Source organism: Homo sapiens, chromosome 6 (genome assembly GCF_000001405.40).
Source record: "Homo sapiens chromosome 6, GRCh38.p14 Primary Assembly".
Lineage (NCBI taxonomy): Eukaryota > Metazoa > Chordata > Mammalia > Primates > Hominidae > Homo > Homo sapiens.
The window spans coordinates 61,813,245-61,831,165 of NC_000006.12; the positions used below are offsets into that span (position 1 = coordinate 61,813,245).

General features: G+C 35.5%; 1 protein-coding gene across 7 annotated transcripts in view; it reads right to left on the reverse strand.

Moving 5' to 3' along the window:
* Nucleotides 1–17,921, reverse strand: part of KHDRBS2 (KH RNA binding domain containing, signal transduction associated 2) — a 743,556-nt gene that overhangs the window by 270,575 nt on the left and 455,060 nt on the right. The window contains exon 7 of one of the 7 annotated variants that reach the window (NM_001350622.2): nt 3,711–3,761. The exons of the other annotated variants lie outside the window; for them this stretch is intronic. Coding sequence (NP_001337551.1) covers nt 3,711–3,761 — 51 coding nt within the window. The remainder of the gene's footprint in view (nt 1–3,710; nt 3,762–17,921) is intronic. 7 annotated transcript variants of the gene reach the window in all.

The following is a 17,921-nucleotide window of genomic DNA, read 5'->3' on the forward strand; positions in this document are numbered from 1 at the left end:
CAGTTAATGAGGCATAGACTACTCTGATGGAAGACCATCTTTTTTGCTGTAATGTGACAATACTGTGTTCAGAATTATTCTTGATATTATACTACTAAAGGCCATTGGAACCCAACTATATAGTTTGTTAAACTAGGTTTAATAGCATGCTACTGCAAGGAGACCACATCACCAGGGAGACCATTGAATTGGTAGGGATCAGGCAGGATTTGCAAACCTAGGAATTTCTGGAACCACATTAATCTGTGAGGAGTTACTATTGTCTGTGGTTTTGAGATGGTGTATATAGATTTAAGTAAGCTAATATTAGAAGAGTATGCGTTTAGATAGTTTTTGCATGTCATTTGCAGGATAGATAGTCATGCATGTCATTACTTGGTATAGTTCTTCTGTTTTATAAATTATAGTACAGTCTTGCATAGTGTAGTTTCCATTTGAATTATCAGCTCCCTGCTCAGTTCTACTAGCAGAACTGCTTTTACTTTATCAATATTAATATAGTGAAATCCCATAAGAGTTAAATGAAATTAACTCATTGTCTGGAATAAACTAGATAGTGGTTAATTATAACAAAGAAAAAGTATTTTTCCTCCTTGGTGACCTTCCAGTGCATAGAAGTAGTAGTATGACACACACTAGGCACTTTGCCTCCATTATTACTCCCTGCTTTTACTTACCTCTTATTATTGTTCAGAATCCTGATGAACAACTCAGTCCCACTCCCACCTCCATGCCAGTAAAAAAAGCTTCGTCCTGGGTTAAGTCTGGTTGAACTCCAATTAGATTAATGAAATAAAGCAACATATTTATTCATTTATTTATGAAGCTGTGGCTGAAAATTTATACTAGCTGACTTTTAAGTCCACTCAAATGAGTGATTCTATGATTCTTTGAATCCTGTAGCAAACAGATATCAAGTGAATTCTTCAGGATGGAATGGTGTTTACTTATTGAATAAGCATCAGAACTTTGAGCTGCTGCTCTCTTCTATTTTAGTATTATGTTATAATTCATTATGACTGAAATTAAAATAAATGAACACACCCCAATCTAAGAACTAATTAGTTACATTAAAAACTATATGTGGCCGGGAGCGGTGGCTCGTGCCTGAAATCCCAGTTTGGGAGGCCGAGGAGGGTGGATCATGAGGTCAGGAGATCGAGACCATCCTGGCTAACATGGTGAAATCCTGTCTCTACTAAAAATACAAAAATAAGCTTGGTGTGGTGCTGCGTGCCTGTAATCCCAGCTACTTGGGATGCTGAGGCAGGTGAATCGCTTGACCAGGGAGTTGGAGGTTGCAGTCAGCCGAGATCGCACCATGGCACTCCAGCCTGGTGACAGACTGAGACTCCATCTCAAAAAACAAAAACAAACAAACAAAAAACTATATATAGTGTTAATATGGTTTCACTTTACCCAAAGTTTAGAATTGTATGGGTTTGTTTGGGTTCAAATGAGTGTGGTCAGGGGTGGGCATAAATAACACAGTGAAAATACAGTAGTCTCCCCTTATCTGCTGGGGATATGATCCAAGATCCCCAGCAGATGTCTGAACCTGTGGATAGTACTGAAAGCTATTTATACAGTTGTTCCTCAGCATCTTTTGGGGATTGGTTTAAGGACTCTGCAGGTTAACTAAACTTGAGCACAAAAGCTCAAGTTCCTTATATAAAATGGTAAAGTATTTGTATATAACCTACACACTTCCTCTTGTAAGCTTTAAAACATCTCTGGATTACTTGTAATACCTACTATAATGTAAATGCTAGGTAAATAGTAGTTATACTGCATTGTTTAGGAAATAACGACAATAGTCTGTACATGTTTAGTACAGGCACAACCACTCATTTTTTTTTTTCAAATATTTTCCACCCCAGGTTGGTTGAATCCATGGATGCAAAACCCATGGATACAGGGGGAAAACCTAACTATGTTTTTTCCTTTACAGTAGCAAGCATGTGGCATATACAGCATGTATATGCTAGACGAAGGGATGATTCATGTCCCAGGAGGAACAGAGTGGGAAGGAATCACACTACTTGGAATGGCATACAATTTAAAACTTAACAAATTTTTTATTTCTGAAATTTTCCATTTAATATTCTCAGACCATGGTTGACAGCAGGAAACTGAAACTGCAGTAAGCAAAACCACAAATAAGAAGGAACTACGATAATATTTTAGCTTTCCAAATGCCATTTTTTACCCACAAGTACAAGGTATGTACTTTATGGTTTTAGCAAAAGTAACGAGTTCTTGCCAAACTATTCACATATTTAAAATGATCTGGTGACTTTGCATTTACAAGAGGTTGGTTGGGATTATCTCTAGGATCAATGGCAATGAACAAGAGGGAAATAACAGAGCATATAATTCCATGACCTTGGAAATATGGCCTCTGTGAACACTTCTATCCCTGAAGTAATTATTGAGGAAGAAAATATTTTTGTCCTTGCTTTTAATGAAATCTGTAGAATTAATATACTCAACCAAGCAAATGATCCTGGACACTGCTTTCACTTTGAGTGGCTTCTTTATTCTTGATCAGGTTTTATATAACTTGTCTCTGGTACTTACCATAATACCATATGTTGATAATAACCTTTGCATTGAAAAGTCCTGATAAATGTATTTTTAAAATATGTGCTGCTATAATGCATATTTATATTAAAGCTGAATCAATAAACACAATATTTTATTGTGGGAAGGATTTTCAACCATGCTGCTTAGCTTAACAGAGCACTCATAAATACCAAAAGTTCCTTAGTAAGCCCAAACTCACTCTACCAAATCTAAAAGCACACTGTTTTGAGATGGAATAGTATCCCTTAGACTTCTATTTGTTAAAACAATAACTAAATTTGAGTTAAATAATTACACATAGTGCTTACAATGTATAAAATACTTCCACAAAAAAGTTGTTATTGGTTAAATTGTGTCCCCAAAAAGATATGTTTTAAATACTAACCCCGGAAAACTGTGAACATAACCTTATTTGAAAATAGGGTCTTTTTAGATATAGTCAAATTTGGAGGCAGATCAAATTTAGATATAATCAAATTTGGATCCATGGGATTAGCATGGATCCTAATTCCAAATGGCTGGTGTCCTAATATGAAGAAGGAAGATGCCCGTGTGAAGACAGAGACATACAGCGAGAATACATGTGTAGACAGAGGAAGAAACTGGAGTAATGCAGCTGCAAGCCAAGGAATGCCAAAAACTGATGGCCAACAGTAGAAGTCAGGGAGAGGCAAGGAAAGATTCTACCCTGTGTCTTAAAAGGAGCACGACCCTGCTGACATATTGGACTTCTAGCCTCCAGAACTATGAGAAAAATAAATGTCTTTTGTTTTAACTCACCCAGTTTGTGGTACTTCGTTATCACAATGCTATGAAACAAATACAAGCGTTATCTGTTTTGAAAATCCAGTTTTGCAAAGACAGACTCATTTATTCTTAAAGAATAAATCTACTAAAATGTAGAATGCCATATTACGTAATGAAACAAAATTAACTCACCATATTCATTCAAGGTGACATTTAGAACTCTCCCACATACATTTTATATTAATATTTTAGTGTGAAAAATATTCCTCTTAAATCTATGAGTGTTGTCCTAATTTAAACCATACACTTTTACAATTTATGCAGTAGCTAGAAGTTAGTCATTTCCATCTTTAGCATTTCTACTTGAGACAACTTACCTGGTGAGATTTTGCCACCGTATCAAAAAACAAGGAAAGTGGTAATGATGGCTGAAACATTAAGGAGAGGTACAGAGGTATGAGTTCTATATTTGTGGATAATATTCAGGTTTTCTAAAAAAACTTTCCACAAAGCAATCACATTTCTCTAGTTTTTCTACAAAGAATGTAAATGCTGCCCACTGAATGATGACTCAATTCCAAAATGATGATTCCATTTCTTGAGAATTACATTTGACAGTACATTACTGATGATGGTGTTCAAGTTTTTTAAAAAAGCACTTATTGTGGAAAATGGTAAGATGAAAATCACCACTTTATGATTTTCTTGTGTCCACGTAGGAGCCCAGAACTATCCCAATACATATTAACTTTCTTTATTTAGTCCTCCATTTGTCACTTATGGTGTCAAAATATCACATTAATTTCATTGCTGTACCATAGAAGAATGGCAATTATAGAAATACTAAGCACTATATAAAAATACTCACAGTGTGCTACATATCCAATGGTATATTAGACTTTTTTTCCTTTGCTATAAGAAAAATCTAAATATCTCTTTCTAAAGAAAGTAAAATGCATTAGATTTGAAAAATACAATGCTATGTTTTACACAGTCTGTTTAAATACCTTCGATTTTGGAGAGAATTTTTAGTTCATAAACTTTTCTGTTTTTATGAACCATTATGGCTTTGGATATTTATTAGTTATTAGCCATATTAGTGCCAACTTAAAGCTGTGGTTTTGTATACAATGCCCTGAAATTTCACCCTACTAACCTTTACATAGACTTACAAGTCATTGGTGCATAATAAGTATAGCTTCCACTTAATGAAGCTAGCTCTTTATATTTTTAACACTCATTTGGAAAACCAATTAACTCTGGCTCTATTGAATAAATTGAACAGGAAATAAATCAAGTGTTGAAACATTGGTGACAGGCCAGACTTTCTGTAATTAGAGTGTTGATATGCCTAAGGCTGTCCATGTGGAGTTCTGTATTTTGATCGACAACTCCCATAGATTAAAGTCATTAAATATTTTTAGCACATTGTCCACATCTCCCGTCTTAAAACCCAGAGGCTTGAATCACAGGGAAAAATCCCTAAAAGTGCCACAAATTTACTTAGGAATTTCACTTATTATTTCTTATTCAACTTGCCAAGATAATATCTACTATGATAAGTAAGATGCAACTCTACTGTTCTTCACATCAGTTCCATTCAGAAAGGATATTTTGCTGCCTTCCTTTTTAAAAAAGACCTTTCAATTGTTAAAATCAGAATATTGGGCAGAGAAAACCTCTGTAAGTAAAAAAAAAAAAAAAAAGGATAGTAGGCAATGCAGAGACAGGGGAAGAGAAAAGGATAGAAAAAAGACGTTAGGGACTCAAGAAGTTATTGAAATTTAATATAATATACTAAGATGAATAGAAGAAATAATGATTAAAAAGAGAAGTGGAAGCACCAATGCTAAAAAATTGGGAGTGTTAATTCTGCACTATCTCTGACAGACTTAAGGAAGTAGTATCCAGGAAATGAAGGATCCTGGTCTCTTCATACTGGGTCTGGGCTAGAGTGAATTCATATGGTTTAACAGTGCCTAGAAGAAATGCACTTCAAGATCATGTTGTTGTTCCACGTTCACCACACATTTTTGACACTGGACAATGGAATGACAAAAAGGTCATTGAAAATGTGTGCCTCTTTTTGTAAATGGTGAAATTAATATTTCATTATACTCATCCATTTCCTGTAGGTTTGGTTACTGTAAGCCATTTTCCCAGAATCTGCTAAGTCCTGAAGGATAGTAAAACTGGATTTCCAGATCCCCAAAGTGAACAAAATAAGCATAAAAATTATACCAACCAGTTTTATCTCCCCCTAACAATGTTTTTCCTTGTTACTTTGAGCGATATTTTTTCCTCAGAATAATGTCCTCAAAATCTGATTATTAGGTCAAAGAAAATATACATTCTTATGTATGTTACTAGGAATTGCGTTTTTGGAGCCCAAAAGGTTCGGGAAAATCTATAATACCCTCAGTAGTTAGTTTAGTGAATAATTGAATTAACTACTTCCTCTAATTTCTCTTTTTTTCTCTTAATTTTTTCCAATATATTTTTCTTCTAAAAATGCTTATTTTAGCTATAATATCTTAATGCATTTTAACCACTGAGAAATCTTTAGCCCTTTTGAAAGGCAGGAGGTATTTAATGTGTAAACTATAAAATGATTTCATTCATACAAATCAATCTTGAGGAAATGAATATTCAGATGAGGCCAAATGAAGGGTTAAGAGAATAAGGGATTCAGGAAATAATTTTTACACCAAATTTTAATTGATAATTTAAATAAAAACATTTCAATATTAATTTCTCAAAATATTTTCAAATATAATGTAACTTAAGGAAATAAAACAAAATGTTGGAGCTTACTTTGTCCCTACTGTGACTTTCTTCCCCTCTTTCTTTCCTGAGAGACATACACAGTTCTCAAGTTGATACATATCTTATCTGTCCATTCTTAATGCTGTATACAGATATATCTATAAACAATATCAATATTGTGTTTTCGGCATTTTGTTGCTTGTTTTATTGATTAGTAACTGAGTGCACTGTTCTTTCTGAGATAAAATGAGGTCCACAAACAATTTTGTTCTTCCCAAATAGGGCCTTACATTAAATTTGATTCATGTTTATAAATATTGTTTTCAATATTAGAGAAAGCAAATTTTCCATTTCCTAGCACTTAGGTGAAGACATACAGAAAAATAAACAAATGAACATGATAATTGATGATGTTAAGAGATTTGAAAGAAATAGGCAGGCAGATGAGGCAAGATAAGTCTGAACAGCTGACTTCTAACTGAAACCAACTGATAAGAATAAAATGGCCAAGCCAAGAGCTGGGAACAAGCAGTCTGATTAAAGGAACTAGCAGGTGCCAAAGTCCCAAATAATGAACAAAAGTGAAGTTCTCAACAATAAAAAGCATTGTCAAACACCCTGTGAAGTGTGTAGCATTTTATCCTTTATTTTCAGGTAAGGCACAGGAAGGTTCATTAACTCGTGCAAACTAGAAAGTGGTAAAGCCAAGATGCAAGCCTGGGCAGTCTGTTTCAAGAACCTTGCTCTCAATATGCACAAAGCCACTTGTCTGAGCCAGAAAGAAAGTTAATGGAGATGCTAGCAAGTAGCTTTGGTCAGTTGTGAAAAGAGTTGTGGTTAACTTTTTCAAATTACCATGGGATGACATTGAAGATCCATTAGATGACACTAGAAGACTTTCATGAGATTCTAGTTGAGGGATGATGATGGCTCAGATCAGACCACACCATGGATGGGGACATTCAGGATGCGTTTTGTAAGTGTAACCAAAATCACTTCTTGATGGATTTGATTTGGGAGGTGAGAAAATAGAGAAACATAGAATGAAATATAAGATTTTGGGCTTGAGCAGTGGGTGAATAGAGATATTATAGAGAAGATGAAGAATATTCAAGAAAAGATAGGTTTGACAGGGCCTGAGGTTATAGAACAGAAATTATATTTTGGCTATTTTAAGCAGTTAGTCAGATTAACAAATTCAGATCTTAGGGAGAGTTTACTTCTGGAAAATCAATTTAGAATTGATGAAATATAAACTAATTAGAGGGTCAAACCAATCCCTGCTTCCTGTCAGGAATAATTTTTGCTCATAGGTGTTTTCTGGAAGTCACATTTGTATTCCTGTTTTAATGTAAATTTGCAGACTACAGACATACACAATCCATTTATGCAGAAGGGATCTCATTTGCTGGCAGATTTCTTATGGTCTTCTCCATGCATGTGGGACACATTTAGTCAAACTATTTATTAGGTCTGTGGTTTTTAATAACAGGTTATTTTGGAGATAAATTGAATGGTAGTAAACAACAGATAATTGAGAGAATCAATGTGCTACCTGGATAGCCATATACGTGTGGCACCCTTTCCTTTTATGTTTCTTACATCTACTCTAATGGGGCTGACTAAATTCCTACTGACTGTGTGAGGAGAATTTCACTCAGAATTGGGAAATCTGTATCGAATGACTATGTAAGCTGAATGAATTGAGATTTAAACCTGTTTGTCTATTATTTTTTCCCTTGGTTCCATAAGATTAAGCATTATTAGAGATATCTATGTTTCCTCATCAATTAAACAACTGCACCCCTCAGGAACCTGAATACTTGACTTTCAACTCTCTCTTACTTTAGAGGTTTTCAAAATGTAGCTTGTGGACCACCTCTGTTAGAATCTACTGGGGTGCTATTTAAACAATATAAAAACCTGGGTCCTACTAGCAAGACATCTTACATCAGGAAGTGTAGATTAGGGTTTGCAACATTGCATTTTAGTAAACTTTCAAGATAATTTTTATATTTGCTAAAATTTAAGGATTGCTTTAATGTCCTCTGTAGAACTTGTGTAATTGCACTGCATCATTAGTGGACACAGGATATGAGTGAGGACTCAGCTGGATCTATGTGGAAACATTTTAATGCTAATGCACAGGTATCAATGACTTAAAATGCTGAGAGCGTATAAAAGGTAAGATGACACTTCTAAGATCAACTATCTGAATTGAAGATGAAAGTTCTGTTGGCAAGCAGACTCTTTCTATCTTTCCTTGGCTATGTTCCCACTACGCATCTGCAGGTTGCTAGAGTGATGAGTGTTGGAGACTCATTTTACTGCTGCAATAAAGTTTTTTTTTCCACTTATAAGCCTTGGAAACTATGAATTTATTTTAGCTAGGTTTTAGATGTCCTATGGATTGCTTCCATTTTTAGTGGGTGTCACATTGTTAAGATTTTTTTTTCCATTAGAGACCAATGACTGGTATTTCTGTTAGAGTAAGAATTCAACATAGTACAGATTATATAGGTGTCTGAAGTTGTTTAAGGCTTGAACCTACTAGTATGCACACTCCAGATAAAAATGTCTTCATTTATGTAGTCAGAAGACATAGTTGACCCATTGTGTCAAATTTTCTAAAGAATTTTCATGAATTCCCTTGAATGTGTTTATTTGAGATTCTTCCATTTTCTCTTTTCTTAAAATACTCTCAGAAACAAAATTACCTGATTCATTTCAATGACTTCCATAGCCATCTCTAGGGATAAACACCAGGTGTATGGTTCCAAACCAACTTTTTCTGATAAACTTTAGACCTGTATTGCCCACTGCCAATTAGTTATCTTTTCTAGGCTAACCTATAGGTACCTCCAAATCAGTCTATCGAAAACGAAGTTCATCTTCTTTTCCCAAATTGTTTCTTCATCCTACTGTAGCCTATCCCAGCAAATTATGTCGACATTTACCCAGTTTTCCAAGTCAAGAAGACTGAACACTCTAACCTCCTCCCTTTGTATATCCAGTTAATCACTGAGTCCTGTTAACTTTATTCTCTAAATATTTCATGAATCTCTTGACTTTTCCTCAACTCCAGTACCTTCAGCCTTGTATTAGATCGCCATTTTCTATCATCTTCATCAGTGCTTCAATGTTCTAATGTGGTTTCCTTTTCAATCTTCTACTCTTCTCACTAATTCTCCACAAAACTCAGGTCTCATTCTAGCATACTTAAAAATCTTCTCATGGTTTTCCATGATTCTTAGGATGAAGTCTAACTTCTTAAATCACCCTAAAATTTTTCTTATTTATTTATGTGGCCCTAGCTTAACTCTCCAGCTAACCTATTTCTATTCCCTACTCTAGGCTTTTGTGTTCAGTTCTCTGCACTATGTCAGCAATGTAGTCTTACAAACAAGCTCTCTCCTTCTCAGACTCTATCTTCATTCTCTAAGCTGTGACATGGGCTATAACCTCAACTAAATACTCTCTCACATCCCCTCAGAAGAGATCAGTGTCTCTTTTCTCTGTACCCATGATAAGTCATATTATTTCTACTACAATCCTTGAAACAGTGTATCATAATTAGCTCTCTGATTTGTAACTCTATATTCCACCAGTTGGTCATCTCCATAAGGACAGGCACCATTCCTATGTGGGTAGTTTTTTTTTACTATTAAATCTCCAGTGTCTGACACAATGCCTAGGTTAACATATATATGCTAAATGATGCATGATGGGGTCATTCTAGCTGATAGGTGTTGGTTGCTGGGTTTTACTGAGTTAAAGTAAATTCTATGTTTCTGACTAGACTCAGTTGCAAAGGGGCCATGAGAATGCTTTAATATTCCACCACAACCAAGGAAGGAGGGTTGGGGAGACATACATAACACATTGCTGACATCTCTTAGTTCTCACTAAAGGTTTTCCCCAGATCATCAGTGAGGAAAAATTCAGTTTATATTGGAACCCTATAAAAAGTTGTATATAATTTTTGATATTAAGCTAAAACCAAATACATTTTCTGATAAAGCATGTGTATTCAGTCTTTTGCAGAATATCATTGCTATTCTTTACACAAATTTTATGTAAAGAAGTCCTCTCTTTATATAAAAAGATTGCAGAGATTGGGAAGAATTTATCTGATGGTTAAAGACATAGTCTAATGTGCCAAGTGAGCAAGTTCAGAAATAGAATATTTCTTCCAGGATATTGTCTTAGTATGCGATATTTCTCTCAGAACATGATACTCATTATAACAAATCAGTTCATTTTATGATTATCCTCATCAGTGAGGTAATTGCTTCAAAATGGTTTTCCATTATCTATTGCTTTTCCTGAATGTTGGGATGTATTGACGAATTGTTGCTTCCTTGTAACATACATTTTATCTTCTGAGTATGTCGATTTAAGATGACCTTGTACCTGAAGTAAAGGTTGTTCAAATTTACAGTTTTCAAAAATGTGTGGCTACTCAAAATTTGCAGATTATAAAATTAAAACTGAGAAATCAAAAACCAGTAAAACATGTATATGAGTCTCTTAATGAAGAAATAATGTCTGAAATAACATGCTCCAAAATGTGAGATCCAAGTTAAATCATGTAGAAATATTAACAATCAATTCTTTTTTAATTTGGTGACACAAAAACCAAACAGAAAATATTTACTTTTATCTTCAGAGTTTTCCCAAAAGAAAATTTTTTAATTTTAATAATACAAGATATGCATGACTTTAAAAGTTCAAAGAGTATTGTCAGAGCACTAAGCAGTTGTGTTTACAATAAACAAAGCTCTGAATCTGGTAAAGCTTATGCTCCAATTTTTATTCATCTTGTCTAGTCAAATGATATGGTTTGGCTCTGTTCCCACCCAAATCTCATGTCAAACTGTGATCCTGAGTGTTGGAGGGCCTGGTGGGAGGTGAATGGATCATGAAGGTGTTTTTCTAATGGTTTTGAACCATCCCCCTTGTGCTGTCTCGTGATAGAGTTCTCACAAAATGGGGTTGTTTGAAAGCGTGTAGCACTCCCCCTTCATGCTCTCTCTCTCTCTCCTGCTGCCATGTGAAGATGTGCTTGCTTCCCCTCAGCCTTCTGCCATGATTGTAAGTTTCCTAAGGCCTCCCAGCCATGCTTCTTGTTAAGCCTGTGGAACTGTGAGTCAATTAACCCTCCTGTCTTCATAAACTACCGAGTCTCGGGTAGTTCTTTATAGCAGTGTAATGGACTAAGACATCAACATCTGTTGAAAGTGCAGGATTCTACTTTGCCCTAAAATTGGAACATGGAAAAACATGCATTTTAGAATTTCCACTTTCAAATGCCTCAGGAAATTTAAGATACTTTGAAAATTTCATATAACATACATAACTAGGGAGGCTTTAAGTTTTATTAATATGACATTAAATCATTTCTGTTTGTTATAGATAACAGTATAATATGGTCAAATTCAGTTGTTAAATTGATTGTCTGCAAATACCTGCTTATGCACAATATTTAAATATTTACCAGAAATCTAAGCTTCCTAAAAATCAAATTTACTACACATTTTAAAAACAAGAGTAGTACATTAATCATAGTCATGTCATTCAAATGGCTAATTGTCCACATTGCCAAATATTCACCAGTATTAAAACTGGGAAAATTCCTATGCTATAGGTTATTAAAATCTATCATTTCACAATTCTTATCTGGAAAATTTTCAGAGATACAGACCTTTTTATCACAAAGTTAATCTTCATTTTAATATTTATGTTATTTTAGCTGAAATCAAGGAGGAAATTATTTCATTAGACAAAAGCATGTAGAAAAAGAATATATAGTCTGAAAATGAAACTAATTTATGCTAAAACAGTATTTCTATAAAATGTCATTGCAGCCTTTAAAAATTATGTTTTTCAAAGAATTGTCATCTGACAAAGTGCACATTTTCTTTCTTGTGAAATGAAATGAATTATCAATTTAAAATAGTGTTTCCATAGGCAAAACATATTCTGAGTCCTTGGGATTGATGGTGTAAATGCTGAATTTGCTCACATAAATAGCTGCCATAATTCTGCATCTAATCATGCTTAATCCTCTAATATACCTCTAAATTTCTAGCTCTGACAAATAGCACGCCAACCTATGTGTACTTACACCAAAATTATCCTAAATATTTTTTGTAGTTAGTTTGATTTTGAGTAGAAAATGCATTTCTTCTTTAAAGGTCTTAAAAGTAAATGAACGCAGTTAAGAGGGTTGTAAAAATTCATCTAAGAAAAATCATTCCTTTTGATCTGTTGACATAGTTACCGTTTAAAATTTATATGTGCTTGTGGTCATGCAACAAGTCCCCCATAAGGGTGTGGCACATTATAATGGCTAGGAACACAGACACTGCAGCCCAAGAATCTGGGTTCAGATGGTAGCTCCACCATCTGTTGTCTATGTGGGCTAGGGAAAGCGACTTTACCTCTTTGAGTCTTGGTGTCCTCGTGTACTCAATGGGGATGATGAGAATAGAACCTAGTTCACATCACTGTATGAGGATTAAATTAAATAAGTCAATATTTAAAAAATTTTTAGAGCAGTACCTGCCACATACTAAGCATTGTAAAACTGATGGTTAAATAACTTTGTAAGAAGCAGTGCTAGATTCGGATGCCAACACTTGGATGATTTCTCTGTCTTGGAGGGACAGGACATTCTTAACCTGACAACATAGATGTAAAAATACTTCTGGGTTGCAAATAATCAAAGAAGGAGTTTTCCAAATATTTTATTTTTCCCCTAAATTATTTTAGTCCTTGGACCTGGTCTTCATGTAAAGAACTGTGGCATTTTTTAGGGGTTTTATGGGCATATTTTAGGTTTTGCTTCCCATAGTTAAAATTTGTCTCATCCACTCTTCTCTGTACACCAGGAGACCTCTCTAGACTGCTCTGTTAAGACACCCAAGCTCTCTTAACACCTGGCTTTCTCCTATGTTAAGCCAGGAGCAGGCACTGGCAAGAAATCAGAGGGAAGGAAGGGAAAAAGATGAGGATGTATATCTCCCTCTGCCACATCTGCTCTCTTCTGATGGGCCAAGGTTTGACAGTGGCTCCTGTCTGATAGCCAGTCTCTCATGGTGGCTGCTTTTACAGATTTCTTAACATTGCCTCCTGCTTGCCCTTTCAGAGAAGGGGTTTTAAAGCTTCCTGCTGTTACTGGCTTCTGGCTACTTCACCATCCCTAGTTGAAATGGACCCTTTGTTGAGCTCTTTTCATTTACCCCAGTGAGTGTGTCATCTGGTCGATGCTAGCAACCTGCCCCATACAGGTAGTATTCGTTAATTAGTTATAAATTTGACCTTTTTGGCCTCTAAAGAAACTCACGTTGAGTGTTTAAAATAATAGGATGATTCACTATTTCCTATCTGCCCTTGAAACAATTATTTGTATAAAATGCAGTGGCTCTTTGGGAGACATTTCTACTCACAAACCCTTACCATAAAATTTGGGAAGTTTTTTGAAAGCAGAGGACTTTCATAATTTTTTTAGTGTGAGTTACAGAACCCAAAGCAATATTAAAGGTGAACACATCCTAACACGACATAGCTAGCTAGAAGATGCCAAGGCCTGTGTTCTTTTCCTCAATTATTCGATATCTATCAGAACATAATTTTAGCAAGGAAATAATTGAGACTATATAAAATTATATCAACTGTTTACTTCATTAGAAAATATATGACAGCCATGTCAATGATTATTTCAATCACCTCGTGCTGGAAGTATATACATTTTGGGGTTTCAGGGAAGCATATTTAGAACAAACAAATGTAAGTTATAGTTTCACCCATTAGGTAATAAACATCATTAGGTCATTCTTTGAATAGCTCTGCACTAGACGACTTGCAAAGCCCAGGATTCACCGTGGTGCTCAAAATGCACAAAGTCCCTCTCTTCCTCTAGGTTACAGTTGGGAGGAGGATGTTAACGCAGGCTGCCTGTGATCCCCCGACTAACTTTGTAGAAGTAGGGATGTGAGTGTTGCTCTTTGGGGAAGGAGAAGAAGTCAGAACTTCATTTATTTTCTTATCCGCTGGACCTCCAGGTAAGCTGACACATGATGCCTGTTAGGAGGAAACAATTTTCTATATTGAAAATGCTAGGCAGGATGTTCCTGCTAAAAGATTCATTATAGTCAATAAATCTAGTACCTATGGATTTTTAAGACATAGTTCCTTGGACAATAAAAGTAACTTGGACAGCTCTCTGGGGTATATATTTGTCCACTCGGGTTGCCTTAACAAAACACCATAGACTGGGTGGATTAAACAACAGAAATTAATTTTCTCACAGTTCTGGAGGCTGGTAGTCCGAGATCAGAGTACCAGTGTGGTCCGACTCTGGTGAGGACTCTCTTTCTGGCCTGCAGATAATACCCTCTTGCCATGTTCTCACATGGCTAACAGAAAGAGACAGCAGGCTCTCTAGTGTCTCTTCTTATAAAGGCACTAATCCCATCATGAAGACCTCACCCTCACAACCTCATTTAAACCCAGTTATCTTCCAAAGGCCTTATTCTCAAATACCATCACATTGGAGGATAGGAGTTCAGCATATGAATTTGTGGATTGTGGGAAGGGCATGATTAGGTCCACAGTAGGTATAAAGTGGAGATTCTGCACAATTTAAATCCCCCCTGTTCTGTGAGGTAACCCTGTGGACCTCACCTACAGACATCACTGATCATTCTGGCACTGACATGCATGTCTGATGTGAGAAAGAAGGATCTGGGAGACATCTATGATGTTCAGACCTCTCTATCCTTTGCCCAAGCCTTCTGGATTTCCTGAATCCTTTATATTCTTAACAGATATTCATGCTGGGTACAATCTCTGATCAATGGATTCAATGTGACAGTCTGATCCTGCATATTAGCTCAACCATCTCATGAGGCTTCAATGCACAAATAAGCACAGAGATCACATCTGTTTCCCAATTTTGATAAAGTCTATAAAGAAAAGGTGCTGGTATCTTAAGAGGGTAGAAAATAAGGATTTCTGAGAAGGCAACTTCAGGAGTAAGGCCTGAAAGGTTCCAATTAGCAAAGAGAGCTACAGGTTACAGGTGCGGGTGAAGGGTTATAAGTGCCCTTTCATTATTCTTTGTATGGTTAATTTTTATCAATTATCTTTCATTTCATTATTAACCCAGCACTTGATAAAACATCAAGAGTTTATCATAACCAGTGAGTAAGTCATTAAAAGATATTATTCTTTAAATCTTAGCTCAAAAGTTCTTTCCTCTGTATACCTTTTGGGTATCCCTCAGGCTGCTGAGAGGTAATTATTTCTGCATTTCAGCAAGTCCCCTCATTCTTCTCTGCCCCTTGCCCTGTTCTTTGATGTGCTTCTTAAAGTATTTATCACACTAAACATTTGTCACAAGATTTTACACTGACCATCATAAGACCTTTGATGGCAGATACAATATTTTATTTATCTTTGTATATTTTTGCTATTTTTCATTTGTCTTTTATTTATCTTTGTATACATGACACATAGGTGATGCTTCACATTAGTTTGTCAAATTAACAAATGAACCTTAAGTTGTGTTGAAAGCATTTCTCTTCATTAGTATACAGTGGGTTAGGATTATTAATTTACTCTGGAAACCACTAAGTACAAGCAAAATGATTCTTTAAAAATTTATGCAGCCTTTAACTCCAGAGAGTTATATAGAGGTATTTTCTATTCAAACTAATTTTCTAATATCTATTAATATAACACAGATGTACGTTTTAGTGTGTATATAGCTGACATTGTGTGCATGTGTGTGTGTAGTTGGGATTGAGAATTTTGTTGTAGTTGTTGTTGTTGAGACGCAGTCTCGCTCTGTCGCCCAGGTTGGAGTGCAGTGGTGCAATCTCGGATCACTGCAACCTCTGCCTCCCGGGTTAAAGCAATTCTCCTGCCTCAGCTTCCCGAGTAGCTGGGACTACAGGCGCCCACCGCCACGCTCAGCTAAATTTTTTTGTATTTTAATAGAGACGGGGTTTCACCGTGTTGCCCAGGCTTGTGACTAACTCCTGAACTCAGGGAATCTGCCTGCCTTGGCCTCCCAAAGTGCTGGGATTACAAGCATGAGCCACTGCGCCCTATTGGATTGAGAATTTTAAGGAGATTGCTTTGTTATTGGCTTAGAAAAATAAACTGAATTGAGCAAAAGATTAGCCCAAGAAGCTTAGATGGTAAAAAAAAAACCTAGTAAAAGATAATACAGTAAACTTATTAAAACTATTTATCAGCAGGTCAATTAAGCACTGTGGGAAACACAGATATTTATATAGTCACATTACAGGTAATGCAAGAAGTAAAGCAGAAAATGGTGTCCATAAACTCATGTGTCAAATCATTTTCATGCAAGCTAATAGTGATATATCAATGTAAAACCGGAGTCATACATAGTATAAATCTTTGGTGCAGTAACAGTAGTCAGGACAAAGACTGGACCCATAGTCTGGGACCCAGAGAGAACACATCGGAGTGAGAGAACAAAAGGTGTCATGGCCAGATTACTCCAACTGCAAAGCAACATGCAGATAGGAGACACATTTAAAAACCCACTTTTTCCATCTTCCCCCATATGCCTGCTCATACATGCTTCAGAAAAATTTCAAGGGAATTAACTATTTACTATTCCTATTCAAGTTGTCTACTACTCTGAATCTATTTTAAGTTAAAAAAATAGATAATTGCATGCTGAATATAGATGATAGTCTGAGAGCCTGAAGGAAAAGAAATATAAAATATAATATGAAACCACATTTTCCATGTCCTCTCTAATTAAATTCTCCAAGCAGACAATACTGGAAAGTGGAGGATATATTGATATGGGTAGAGCTTATTCTCAGGGTAAAGGAATGTGGACTCACACTCAGCCTAGCGAAGTTTTGAGTGGTTTGTTTTTGTTGTCTTTTCCTGTTTGGGGTAAGCCTGGAGTGAATTTCAAGAATGATAAATTGACAGCTATACATTCAGGAGTTATTGTTAGAGGTCTTCTCTGATACCTATCTAAGTCTTCTCTAAATGTGTCCTTATACAACTCACTGTGTAAGAAAGAAAATTGGAAAATATAATTGGTAAACCATAGAACATTTTGGAAACCTGTCTTCAACTTTCCCTAATGTGATAAAGAGAGATGAATGTTGAATATTCCACTGATTATTGAATTCTGCAATTCTGCATTCATCATACAGAATTTAGTTTTGAAGCTTTTAATTCCCATTTCTTTCTCTTCTAGTTGACAACGAGGCTGGCAGTCCAACCTTTTCTCATTAGCCTGTCTGCTTTAACTTGGCACTTGTGTCTTTGGTTTCCCATTTGAGGTCTAATGTCATGTCCTGGGTACAGGTTAAGGCTAGCTTACCATTCTACCTTTGAGCCAAATGGTAAAGTGGAAGTTGGAATACATGCTTGAGCTTATTGGTAATAATATACTGTAAAGCTTGCTATTAGTCATGATAATAAAGTAAACATGATATTAGTGATGTAGATAATTTAGACATCTGTAACATTTTATTCTGCAAAATGTAAAATGATGATGATAGACTATTATTTTATATATCATTAGGGGAAAAATGTTCCTAAATAAATTTTTGTTCTAAAAGTGTACTTCTTTTTCAGGTATATTAAGATATAAAAAAAAGTCCGAAAATTTGAGAGAAACTGTAATTAGATCAGATGTACTTCTCTTAACATACTTAAAAATGCACTGAACATAATAACAGGTCAGAAGATCAGTGCTTTTCTTCTTTTTGAAGTTGGTAAATCTTTGTGATTAGCATTGAGGCTCCTTAAGCCTT